Raw genomic sequence first — 14,149 nt, 5'->3', positions numbered from 1 at the left:
TGTTGGTCATACTTTCTCATTTTAGTTTGCATCTCTGAAACTTTTTGCACATTGTAAATGATATCCTGAAGTGACTGTAGAACCTGTTTTGTTCTTCTGATTGCCAATGTATCATTCTAGGAGACAATTAATGTGCCTGAATTTCCTGTCATGTGCAGCAGCTAATATCTCTGCTTAGGAGTCTAAACAAAGGACTCAAAAGATCCATTACCCATCTTAGAATTTTATGATTTTTAGAGATTCAAAATTCAGAAATTAAAAAATTTTAATTAGGAAGTTTTTCTTATTATGTCATTTTGGTTTTTGTCACTTTCAAGTCTTACAAATCCAATATAATTCAACTATATAATACAGAATGCCAATATCTCACTTTGTTGTGAATTCAAATCCATATTTCAGATATCTAATAAAAATTTTCATAAATATTTCAAAAATTATGAAAAAAACTAAGTAGAAGATGTTAAATTGAAAAATCAGGATATTAAAATATACTATAATGTTTGGAATTAAATTCTACTTCATTGATAGTATAATTTTACTTCTCTAGATGAAATAATTTAAACTAAGATACCGGGATAATATTTTAATGAATTTAAATTAAAATTTCTTAAAGAATCAGGACTACTGTAATAAAGTGAAACATTTGTTGCTTAAAAATATACCATATCAGATAGCATAGGGTTAATACTCACTTAGTTCTCACAACACACCATGCCTCTTCTAAAACATAATAATTCACATGTAACTCCAACAATTTATCTCTTACTTCTTTGGCAGATTTTCGACTATATGTAGAATAAACTATTTTTGTCTGGGCCCTTTAAATTTAAACAATAGTTTAAAAGATTTTAAAATGAATGATAATAGAATAGACTAAAAAAATCGTACTAGCAAATTGAAATCTCAGTACTCACGGGATGGAACACTGATATACATGACTCAAAACAGCATCAACTATTTTGGGGATGGCAGTTTCCACATTCCTACTTATATTTTGAATGTAATAAAACTTACAGCAATTTTAATTTTGCATATACTGCTCATTAGTATATAAAATAGTCTAAAGCTGTCCTGGGAGCAGAGAACAGCTTAGGATATAAAATTTTCTTCTCATAATTCACCAAGTTTTCAGAGAATATATTCTGACAGAGACTGAATGTAGTGAAAACATATCTTTCAATGCTTAATTTCATCTAAAGAAGCTCTGACAAATACATGAATTGAAATTGAGTGTATCAAGTAGAACACTTAGACAATGGGCATCCAGGGTGTCAGAAGAGGTAGGAAAAGCACCTTCACAGAATCTTGAGAAATGGGGATGGTCACCAAAATATGGTACAATAGGTGATTTGACCGTAGTGGGAGTTCTTACAAAATCCTGACAAACTATCACTTATGCATTGGATGTTGCTTAGAATTTCAAGCATATGGGATGCTCAGTCACCACAGTGGTTTCCATGCCAGTTCACCACAGTAGAACAGAGAGAGCATCAGGTACATTTCTAAGGTGTCTGACTCCAACCCTGGCTCCTAGACAGCAGACCTAAAACTTATAAATAATTTAAAGATTTGCCTCTAACAATAGGCCAAAAATCCACTTTAAAAAAAGATTACCCTGAAAATTACTAGAATATCCAAAATAATTTTTTAAACCAGCCATTTAAGGAAAGCAAAACTTTTAGCCATCAATGGAAACTAGAGTTCTCATAATCGGCTAGCAAAAATACTCTAAATTTTCATGAAAGCACGTAGTGTATAATAGCAACTTTCATGTACTTTTTCTACCTGTCACAAAAAGCTAGTCATTGGCCACCAGTAAGATCTAGAAATCATTTCTTAAATCAGAGTGGGGCTTGTGGTGTACAGCAGGGGTTGGCAAAACACGACTGCGAGTAAAATCCATCCTACCTCCTCTTCCAATTACCTAGTAGTTTTACTGGAATACACACACACATCATAAATATGTGACACAATTGTCACTTTGGGAAAAACTGGCTTTTGCATTTTTCAGTTTTCAGAGGTCTGCTTGCTCCAGAGGCAACAGGTACGTATTGTCATTTCTGGATGGTTATTGTCATTTTTTTTTAACTTCCAGCATGAAAATGAGGACGAGTTTGTGTGTGTGTATGTGTGTCTATGCGTATGTGTGTGTAAAAATTTCCCCAATTCCTAAGAATTGGGAGTCACCAAGTGAGTCTTGATGAAATACTCATCGGCCGCCAACCTCAAGTCTGCATCTTCGTAATGTGGATGATTCACAATGGGATGAAGTGTAGACAGCTTCACGCTTGCCATTGTAGGCATGGCACTGCGAAGACAGCATCTGAAAAAAAAAAAAAAGGCTCTCTTCTTCAATGAAATGTTTTAAAGAAAATCAGAAGTTAAACTTACCTCTAATATGTAAACCCGAATTAAGAAGGATGATGCCTATTTACAAGACCATGGACCTCATTCTTTTATTGACTCAATAGTTATTCATTGTCTACTATAATAATAGCTGACTTTTGTTAAATGCTATCTTGGTGCTAGAAATTGTGCTCCATATTTTAACAAGAATTAAATAACTTAATTTTCACGATTCTAAGAGGTGGGTCCTCTGTTCTTTGTAGAATCTACAAACCGAGCATGTGAGGGGTCTGGGTTGTGCACTCATTAGAATCTAATGCCTGATGATCTGAGGTGGAACAATTTCATCCAGAAACCACCCCCCATCCCCCAGTTCTGTGGAAAAAAAAAGGTCTTCCAAGAAACAGGTCCCTGGTGCCAAAAAGGTTGGGGACTGCTGTTGTAGATGATGAAGAGACACAGCCAAGTTAAGTGACTTGCCCAAGACTGCACAGCTAGGAAGTTCCAGAGCCTGCCCTCTTAGCTGCTTCACTGAAGCTTCCTGCTATGCTAGAGCACCATGCTAACAGCAGGACTACAGACACACATGAAACAAAAAGAATGTAAAATGTCACATCTGTTCCAAGAATGTGAAATGCCAGGACCTGAGAGACTGCTATGAAGGGCAAGTCTCATGGGACATTTTTTCCAATGACTTTTGTGGCTGGTGAACTGTGGTCCTGTGGATGTGCCATAAAAAAAGGAAAACATTGTTTTCTTCCCTCAGATCACCTTTAATTAAGTTCTCAGAGTTACCATTTGACTTGACACCATTTATACATGCCATGAAATCATTTCACTACTTGCTGCTAGTACTTTTTGGTGTAATGACATGTATAAATTTGGTCATAACTAGAGATACATCAAAATCTACTATCTGGCTTCCATTTCATCTCTTGAAGCACCAGAAGACCAAATGCTTACTTCCTGGTACTTTTGTATAAAAAACAATTACATAATTGTGAAGGTTATTATTTTTAATCAGCACAATAAAATCAGTAACAAAGACAAGACATATTATTCAGCTCTACTGTAAAAAACTGTATGTTGGAGAGGAGGTGGAGCATGACGACCAAGTAGAAACCTCCACTGTTCATCCTCCCCTCAGGAACACCAAATTTGATAATGATCTACACAAAAAGCACCTTCATAAGAACCAAAAATCAGCTTAGGTACCAGCTTGGCCACAGTGGGGAGCAGCACCAAGCAGGCTCTTGTGGTCCCCGATTCCAGGCCTTGGCTCTTGGGTGGCATTTCTGGACCTGCCCTCGGCTGGAAGAGAGCCCACTGCCCTGAAGGGTGAGTCCCAGGCCTGGCAGCACTCACCACAAGCTGACTGAAGAGCCCTTGGGCCTTAAGTGAATGTTGGCAGTAGCCATGCAGTACCTCCCATGGGCCTGTGGTAGTGGTGGAAATGGAGAGAGACCCCTCTGCCTGGGGAAAGGGGAAGGAAGGGTGGGAAGGACTTTGGTGGTTTCAGCACCAGCTCAGCTGCAGTAGAATAGAGCATCAGGTAGATTTCTAAGGTGTCTCACTCCGGGCCCTGGCTCCTGGACAGCAGCATCTCTGGACCTGACTATGACCTGGGGAATCTTGCCACCCTGAAGGGAAGGTCACCAGCCTGGTTTGCTTTGCCACCTGCTGACTGTTGAGCCCTACACCTTGAGCAAACATAGGTGGTGGCCAGGCAGTAGTTACAATGAGCTTTGGGCAAGACCCAGTGCTGTGCTAGCTTCAGGTCTGACCCAACACATTCCCACTAGTGGTGGCCACAGAGATGCTTATGTCACCCCACCCCCAGCTCCAGGCAGCTTAGCACAGAGAAAGAGAGAGAGAGAGACTCCATACGGGAGAGAGTAAGGAAAGAGAACAAGAGTTTCTGCCTGCTAATCCTGAGAATTCTGGATTTTATCCAAGACCACCAACGTAGTAACTCTAAGAGTCTGTAATAGCTTCAGCGTTACTGGGCATGGGGTGTCTCCTAGTGCAGATACAGCTGCAGCAACCAGAAACTTAGATCACAACACCAAAGTCCCTTTGAATACCTGGAAAGCCTTTCCAACAAGGATGGGTACAAACAAGCCCAGACTGCAAAAACTATAATAAACACCTAACTCTTCAATGCCCAGACACTGACAAACATCCACAAGCATCAAGACCATTCAGGAAAACATGACCTCACCAAACAAAATAAATAAGGCACTAGGGGGCCAATCCTGGAATGACAGAGATAGGCGGCCTTTCAGACAGAGAATTCAAAATAGCTGTGCTGAGGAAACTCAAAGAAATTCAAGATAACACAGAGAAGGAATTGGTAATCCTATCAGATAAAGTTAACAAATAAACTGAAATAATTAAAAAGAATCAAGCAGAAATTCTGGAGCTGAAAAATGCAACTGCCATACTGAAGAATGTATCAGTCTCTTAATAGCAGAATTGATCAAGCAGAAGAAAGAATTAGTGAGCTTGAAGACAAGGAGTTAGACAGAGAGATAGCAGTAGGAAGTTTATTCAAAAGTATAACAGAATTTCTCAAAGCTAGAGAAAATATCAATATTCAAGAACAAGAAGGTTCTAGAACACCAAGCAGATTTAACCCAAAGGCTAACTCAAGTCATTTAATATCAAACTCCCAAAGGTCAAGGATAAAGAAAGGATCCTAAAAGCAGCAAGAGAAAAGAAACAAATAACATACAATGGAGATCTAATAGATCTGGCAGCAGACTTTTCAGTGAAAACCTTACAGGCCAGGAGAGCATGCCATGACATATTTAAAGTGAAGGCAAAAACCTTTTACCTGAGAGTAGTGTATCCAGAGAAAATGTCCTTCAAACCTAAAGGAGAAGACTTTCTCAGACAAACAAAACTGTGAAATTTGATCAACACCAGACCTATCCTACAAGAAATGCTAAAGGAATTTCTTCAATCTGAAATAAAAGGACATTAATGAGGAAGAAATAATCGGAAGGTACAAAACTCACTGGTAATAGCAAGTACACAGAGAAACAGAATATTATAGCAGTGTCATTATGGTATATGAACTACTTATATATGACAAGTAGAAAGACAAAAAGATGAACCAATAAAAAATAACTACAATAACTTTTCAAGAGACAGAGAGTACAATAAGATATAAATAGAAACAACAAAAAGGTAAAAAGTGGGAAGATGAAGTTAAAGTTTAGAATTTTTATTAGCTTTCTTCCTTTGGCTTATTTGTTTGTTTATGCAATCAGTGTTGTCATCAGTTTAAAATAATGGGTTATAAGATATTATTTGCAAGCCTCATGGTAACCTCAAGTATAAAAACATACAATGGATATACAAAAAATAAAAAGCAATAAGCTAAAACACACCACCAGAGAAAATCACCTTCAATGAAAGAAAAAGAGGAAGGAAGAGAAGACCACAAAACAATGAGAAAACAAATAACGAAATGGCAGGGGTAAGTCTGTATCAATAATAACACTGAATGTAAATGGACTAAACTCTCCAATCAAAAGACAAAGAGTAGCTGAATAAGAAAACAAAACCCTAAGAATCTGTTACCTACAAGAAACACACTTTACTTGTAAAGGCAAATATAGACAGAAAACAAAGGGATGGAAAATTATATTCCATGCCGAGGGAAACCATAAAAGAGCAGGAATAGCCATATTTATATCAGACACAATAGATTACAAGACAAAAACGATAAAAAGAGACAAAGAAGGTCATTATATAATGATAAAAGGGTTAATTCAGCAAGGGTATATAACAATTGTAAATATGTATACACCCAATACTGGAGCACACAGATACATAAAGCAAATATTATCAGAGCTAAAGAGAGAGACAGAGAGAGACAGATCCCAATACAATAATAGCCTGAGACTTCAACACCCCACCTTCAGCAGTGGACAGATCATCTAGACAGAAAATCAACAAAGAAACACTGAACTTAATCTGCACTGTAGATCAAAAGGACCTAATAGATACTTACAGAACATTTCACCCAACAGCTACAGAATACACATCCTTCTCCTCAGCACATGGATCATTCCTCAAGAATAGACCACAAAACAAGGATAGGCCACAAAACAAGTCTTAAAAAATTTTTTAAAAATTGAAACAATATCATGTATCTTCTCTGACCACAATGGAAAAAAAACTAGAAATCCGTAGCAAAAGGAATTTTGGAAACTCTACAAACATAGAAATTAAAGAATATGCTCCTGAATGACCAGTGGGTTAATAAAGAAATTAAGAAGGAAATTGAAAATGTTCTGGAAACAAATGATAATGAAAACACAACATATCAAAACCTATGGGATACAGCGAAAGCAGTATTAAGAGGGAAGTCTATAGCTATAAGTGCCTACATCAAAAAAGAAGAAAAACGTCAAATTAACAACCCAATGATGCATCTTAAAAAACTAGAAAAGGGCAAACAAAACCCAAAGTTAGTAGGAGAAATGAAATAATAAAGATCAGAGCAGAAATAAGTGAAATTGCAATGAAGAAAACAATATAAAAGATCAACTGGTTTTCTGAAAAGATAAAATTAACAAACCTTTAGCCAGACTAAGAAAAAAAGACAGAAGGCCCAAATAAATAAAATCAGAGATAAAAAAAGGAGACATTACAACCATATCGCAGAAATTAAAGGATCATTAGAGACTACCATGAGCAACTGTATGCCAATAAATTGGAAAACCTAGAAATGGATAAATCCCTAGATACACAAAACCTACCAAGATTGAACTATATAGAAATCCAAAACCTGAACAGACCAATCACAGGTAATGAGATCAAATCTCTAATGAAAAGTCTCTCAGCAAAGAAAAGCCCAGGACCTGATGGCTTCACTGCTGAATTTTATCAAACATTTAAAGAGAGCTAATATCAATCCCACTCTAACGATTCCATGAAATAGAGGAGGAGGGAATACTTCCAAACCCGTTGTATGAGACCAATATCACTTTAATACCAAAACCGTACAAAGACCCATCAAAAGAAAACTACGGGCCAAAATCTCTGATTAATGTTAATGCAAAAATCCTCAACAAAATACTAGCAAACTGAATTCAATAACATATTAAAAAGATTATTCATCATAACCAAATAGGATTTATCTCAGGGACACAAAGATGGTTCAACACAGCAAATCAACATGATACGTCATATCAACACAATGAAGGGGAATAAATCATATGATCATCTCATCTCCATAGATGCAGAAAAATCATTTGATAAAATTCAACATCCTTTCATGATAAAAACCTTAAAAAAACTGGGTATAGAAGGAATATTAGTGAACATAATAGAAACCATATACAGCAAACGCACAGCTAGTATCATACTGAGTGAGGAAACACTGAAAGCCTTTCTTCTAAGATCTGGGACATGACAAGGATGCTCACTTTTTACCACATTATTCAACATAGTACTGGAAATCCTAGCTAGAGCAATCAGACGAGAAAGAAATAAAGGGCATCCAAATTTGAAAGGAAGACGTCAAATTATCATTGTTTGCAGATGATACGATCTTATATTTAGAAAAACCTAAAGTCTCCACCAAAAAAAACTATCAGAACTGATAAATTCAGTAATGGTGTAGGACACAAAATCATACAAAAATCATTAACATTTCTATATGCCAACAGAGAACAATCTGAAAAAGAAAATTTAAAAAGTAATTCCATTTACAGTAGCCACACATAAAATTAAATATCTAAAAATTAACCAAAGAAATGAAAGATCTCTAGAATGAAAGCTATACAAAACTGGAGAAAGAAATTGAAGAAGACACAAAAAAATGGAAAGCTATTCTACGTTCAAGCATTGGAAGAATCAATATTGCTAAAATGTCCATATTATTCAAAGCAATCTACAGATTCAATGCAATTCCCATCAAACTACTAATGATAATCCTCACAGAAATAGAAAAAACGATCTTTAATTATATGAAAAAACAAAAGACCTAGAATAGCCAAAGCTACCCTGAGCAAGAAGAACAAAACTGAAGGAATCACAATACCTGACTTCAATTATACTACAAAAGTATAGTAACCAAAACATCACCGTATTGCCATAAAAACAGACACACAGACCAGTGGAACAGAATGGAGAACCCAGAAAGAAATCCATACATCTACAGTAAACTCATTTTTCACAGCAGTCTCAAAAACATACATTGGGGAAAGGGCAATCTCTTCAATAAATGGTGCTGGGAAAACTGGATATCCCTATGTGGAAGAATGAATCTACACCCCTATCTCTTGCCATATACAAAACTCAAATCCAAATGGATTAAAGACTTAAATCTAAGACCTCAAACTCTGAAATTACTACAAGAAAACTTTGGGGAAACCCTCCAGGACTTTGGATTGGGCAAAGATTTCTCGAGTAAATACCTGGGAAGCACGGGTAACCAAAGCAAAAATGAACAAAAGGGATGACATCAAGTATAAAAGCTTCTGCACAGCAAAGGAAACAATCAGCATGGAGTATGGGGTTCATGGAAATTCTCTCTACTGTCTTCACAATTTTTCTATAAATCTAAAACTATTCTATAAAGTAGAAGTCACAAAATAAAATCAAATATTCTACTTACAAATATAAAATGTAACTTGAAAACTACTATTAGGTACTATGCTCACTACCTGGGTACAATATACCCATGTAACAAGCTTGTACATGTGCCCCCTGCATCTAAAATAAAAGTTGAACACTAAAAAACATGTCATTTGAGATCATATTTCCCTCAGAAGGAAATTTTCATCACAATTTACTTCTTGGGTCCTATAGCAATTTACTTATGTGTGACTGATATGATACATTTTGCTGGCATCTGCTTATGCTAGTGACATTACTAAAGCCATCCAAAAATGTTATACAATAAATAGTTTTAACAATAAGTTTAGAAAAAAATTCATAAATATTCAGAAACACAAATAATTATACTCCCTCTGAAAGATAAAAAAGAGAGAAAAAGAAAAGCCTGACCAACATGGTGAAACCCCCTCTCTACAAAAAAAATACAAAAATTAGCTGGGCATGGTGATGCACACCTGTAGTCCCAGCTGCTTGGCAGAGCTGAGATGAGATGATCGCTTGAGCCCAGGATGTCCAGGCAGCAGTGAGCAGAGATCATGCCACTGCACTCAAGCCTGGGTGACAGAGCAAGACTCTGTCAAAAGAAAGAAAAAAAGAAAAGAAAAGAGAAAAGAAAGGCAAGGCATGGCAAGACAGAGAGAGAGAAGGAAGGAAGGCAGGAAGGAAGGGAGGGAGGGGGGGAATTCCAAAAATAAATCTTTAGCTTACTGACTTTAAATTCTAATGATAAATTATAATTTATCAATTTAAACTTTGAGTTATTTCACAAATATAAATATCTCCAAAACAAGTCCAAATACATATAAGAAATCTGTAAGAATAATATTTTTAAGAAAACATCTGTTTGGTTCATATCTCCTGTCTTAATCATAATGCTAAAGTTTAATGCATATTCATTTGAAAAATTAATGTTACAGTAAGTTATTTAATAATTGAATACAGTATGTTTTAAAAATGATGATATAATTACCTTAGATAAGTGTTTGTAGCTAAAACACACGAAATATCACGAACAGTCTGTGAATAGAATCAAATCAATGAAACTTTTCTAAGGAATACTGCAATATTTAAAATGCTCTGATTCATTAATGTAAACACTCCACCAAAGAAAGAAGTATTTTTTAATGTTTAAGGGAGTTCTCAGTAACAGGACGATCATACTATATATGCCTTCCTTTTCTCCTTCCGAGAAGTGACTTCACATCATTGAAAACTAAATGACCATCAGAAGTATCCTTGGGGTGAAAAATAAGCCACAATAGGACAAATAAAGACTGAGGGGTTTATAAGAAAGCAGCAAGGAAGGAGTGAAACTTGGCTGGCTGCAGGGATGAGAGAGGGAGAGAGACAGAGAGAGAGTTGTGTGTGTGTGTGTATGAAACTTGGCCGACTAGAGGGATGTGTGTGTGTGTGTGTGTGTGTATGAAACTTGGCTGGCTGCAGGGATGAGTGTGTGTGTGCACATTTGTGTATGTGTGTATGAAACTTGGCTAGCTGCAAGGATGTTTGTATGTGTGTGTGCGTGTGCGTGTGTGTATGAAACTTGGTTCGCTGCAGGGATGTGTGTGTGTGTATGTGTGTGTGTGTGTGTGTGTGTGTACGTACATGCCCCTGCTAGTGCACATGCATAGTTCAGGTTGTGGTGTGTTTGGAGACTAGGAATGTATTTATAAGTCTTGGATCTTAATTTTTTAAAATATAGGAGTTGCGGATCTAGCTATCAGTTTCTCTCACATTGCTGACTCTCCACTGAATAGTTAATTCATGCATTGGCCCCTCTAAGTGGAGCCTTATAAGGATAACTCGACATTTTGCCTTGATGGAAAAGAAACAGGCCAGTAGAGAAAATCTTCATTCTAGGCCAGCATGGGCCGAAAGAATGCAGGGCGGTAAACCTGCTCACATTTTACTCATTCCTCCTGGTTTCCTTTATCCTGACCCTTTCCACGTGGTCCGCAGGGAACTGGATCAAGGGTGAAACCACAGAGATGTCGAGGGAGATGCCTTTCTCACTCCTAAATTACTCACATCTCTGTGTAAACAAAGGAGTGAGAAGTGTGGCAACTAAAACTACATAGAGAAGATATGCAATTTGACTGTAAATACAGAAAACTTTCAACAAGAACACAACTGGTATGGTGGTAGGGAAATCGCGTTATTGTTATCTGCTTAAAAGTATACAATAAATACATACTGGCTTAAGACTTGATAGCTTGTAAATAATATAAATAAAGATAGCTCAAGACTGCTAAAAAAAAAAAAATAAACCCACTGTCTTTAACCATGCTTTTAGAATAACTCTCCCAGACCAACAAAACCTGCCAGTGGTATTTTAAGGATTGTTTCTTTTATTGAGATATTATTTTCTTCTGTCATGAAAACAGTGAACATGTAGAAAAATATTTTTTAATTAGCTATACAGAATTCTTCTACGCAAGCCCACTCAAAATAGATCAAGACTTCACTGTGCTTTATATTTGAAAGATACTAATGTAGTTGTCACTGGACTTTTCTTTCATAGCACCTATAAAAATTTTAATTCTTTAGACATTTGTGCGATTATCTGCTTCATGTTTGCACCCCCACCCCCAATAATCCAGGACTGTAAGTTCCAAGACAGGAGTGGCTACGTTTTATTTGTCTGGGTGTACCTACAATGTTAATGTAGTCCTTGATACACAGTTGGTGACTGGTATATATCTTTTGAAAGAAAAAATAAGAATACCTTTTATCATGGCTTTTTATAAAAAGATCGATAATGAAAGATCTAAATAAAAAACAAACTTTTAGAGAAAGAAAGAGTTTCTCCTAAAAATAACATGAAATTCTGAGCAATTTGCATGATTATAGTCCTTATATTGATGCCAAAAACAAATAATAATTTGTTTAAAAATACCTTTTTAAAGATAAAACATGTAATCACCATAACAACTGGAAGCAATAATGTCTTTGTGTATCTCAGCGGAGTCTGAAATACACCAAATTATTCAAAATAGTTACTTACGATTTTTACATTAAATTAGTAAACATCTATGTCAAACTAAGTGCCATGATAACATTCCTTAAAAGTAAAAGGTAAAATTTGTCATCAGCAGAATATATATTTATTGTCTTCCATGCCTTAATGAAATAATTAAAATTATAAAAATAGTTATAAAAAGTATTCCAAAAATTTAATGAAAAATTTATTATTTTAATAAAACTAGAATTGCTATATCTATTATGTTTTTCTTTTCTTTTTTTTATTTACATAATACTAAGTTTTAAAATGCGTGTTTACCGATCCCTGGGTCCTACATTGTAATTTTCTATACTACACAGCTCCATTATTTTCATTAGTGAAACTAGAGCTAAAAAGAAAGCTAACCAAAGTTAATTACTAAAACTATGAATAAGTACAGAAATAACATTGGCTAACTAATTCTGATGACCTGTTATTGTGATGATAAGGAGTAATTTACCATGTAACTAAATTATACATTTCTTAAAAGCAAGAAACCAGTTCATTTTCCTCTTTGCCGTGCTATAGCAAACTGCCTCATGGATAACTATAGTCAATAATAGTTTTTGAATGAATGGATGATTGGTTGGATGGATAAGAGAAGAATGTAAAATTCTATTACTTACCACTAATTCAGAATTCATAATAATTACACAAGGAATAATCAATCCAGTAGCAACTTTGTTATGTTCCATGAAAAAAATTAAGCTACAAATAGAGGAAAGCCCTGGATTGAGAGTTCTAGAATCCATTAGAATCCATGTCCTGATCTTGGCTTGTGTGTGCTTTAGGCAAATCTCTTAAGTTTTTCTTTATCTGCAAATGAAAGAACTATATGGCATGGTCTCTAAGAGCCCTTCCTGATCTTGTGTTCCATGATTCTACAAAGAGGCCAATTTTTTTTTCTTTTTTTTTTTGATACAGAGTCTCACTCTGTCGCCCAGGCTGGAGTGCATTGGTGCGATCTCAGCTCACTGCATCTCCGCCTCCAGGGTTCAAGCAATTCTCCTGTCTCAGCCTCCTACTCAGGCTGGGACTACAGGCATGCACCAACATGCCTGGCTAATTTTTGTATTTTTAGTAGAGATGGGGTTACCACCATGTTGGCCAGGCTGGTCTCAAACTCCTGACCTCACGTGATCCACCCGCCTCGGCCTCCAAAAGTGCTGGGATTACAGGGATGAACCACCACGCCCAGCCTATGTTTTAAAGCTTTATAGCATGAACTTTTTAAAAAGAATAATACCTTGCATTTGTATAATTAAAAATGAATTTTTATATGTTCATTAAAACTCATCAGTAGCATACCTTTCTTGGTAACACCTTGTTAAAAATGTTATAATATTTGGGGTGTTAACTGTAATAAAACTGAATTTCTTAAAAACAGAAACAAGCATTTAGACTTTTTCCTGAATGGTCCCATACTTCCAAGTGGCCTAGATTATTAAAAGTAGTTGACTGGTAATAATAATTATTACGGGTCATATAGTATGTTAAACACTCTTCTCAGATTATCTCATTTAACCATCATCAATAACTCTGTAAGATATGAGACTATCTTTTTTTTATTTTACAGACAAAAAAACGAGGAAGGTGGATTAGCAAGTTACAGTAAAAAAAATAAGTTGACCATTTCTGAGTAAAAATTTTGAGTTTCAGATTAAAAAAAAACTAGAGCAAAAACTCATAGTAGTAGAGAAGGAAAAAAGAAACATTCATACCGCTTTTTCCATGAAGTCAAATTTGGGAGCACAGGTGTATATTAAAGTATCAAATTCTGTATACCTTAAGATTCTGGCTGCTATAAGATCACTCAGGCAAATTTGGGAGAAAATAAAGTAAAATGAATTAAAATTACACAAATGATTATAGCCTATAGCCAGTAATACTTTATTGATGTAAGAATAACAAAGTTTATAGAGCAAATAAATCCAATGTATTTAGACATCCCTCTAAGAAAACAAAAAACTACAGTGAACCAAATATACGACGTGCTGACTTCTCAAGATAACTGAAAATTAAGAGAAATATCATGAAAAATGAAAAGTAGAAAGAAGTCAGAAAAAAATAAAGAGAAGATGATAAAGAGTGAGCTAAAATCAATATCTGCTGAGAAGAAACCACCATGTAGTTAATTACATTTTATAATAAGACAATTTATCATGA

At 35.5% G+C, this 14,149-nt stretch overlaps 1 pseudogene across 1 annotated transcript in view; it reads right to left on the bottom strand.

Moving 5' to 3' along the window:
* Positions 1 to 14,149, bottom strand: part of DPY19L2P3 (DPY19L2 pseudogene 3) — a 57,468-nt pseudogene that overhangs the window by 8,351 nt on the left and 34,968 nt on the right. The window contains exons 6-8 of the transcript NR_158194.1: positions 9,953 to 9,999; positions 2,188 to 2,323; positions 693 to 818 (exon numbers count right to left, since the gene is read on the bottom strand). The product of NR_158194.1 is annotated as a DPY19L2 pseudogene 3, transcript variant 3 (transcript). The remainder of the gene's footprint in view (positions 1 to 692; positions 819 to 2,187; positions 2,324 to 9,952; positions 10,000 to 14,149) is intronic.

The sequence above is a fragment of the Homo sapiens genome, chromosome 7 (genome assembly GCF_000001405.40).
Source record: "Homo sapiens chromosome 7, GRCh38.p14 Primary Assembly".
In the NCBI taxonomy this organism is placed as follows: Eukaryota; Metazoa; Chordata; class Mammalia; order Primates; family Hominidae; genus Homo; species Homo sapiens.
The sequence above is the reverse complement of the archived record's forward strand: the minus strand, read 5'-3'. Positions and strand labels throughout refer to the sequence as shown.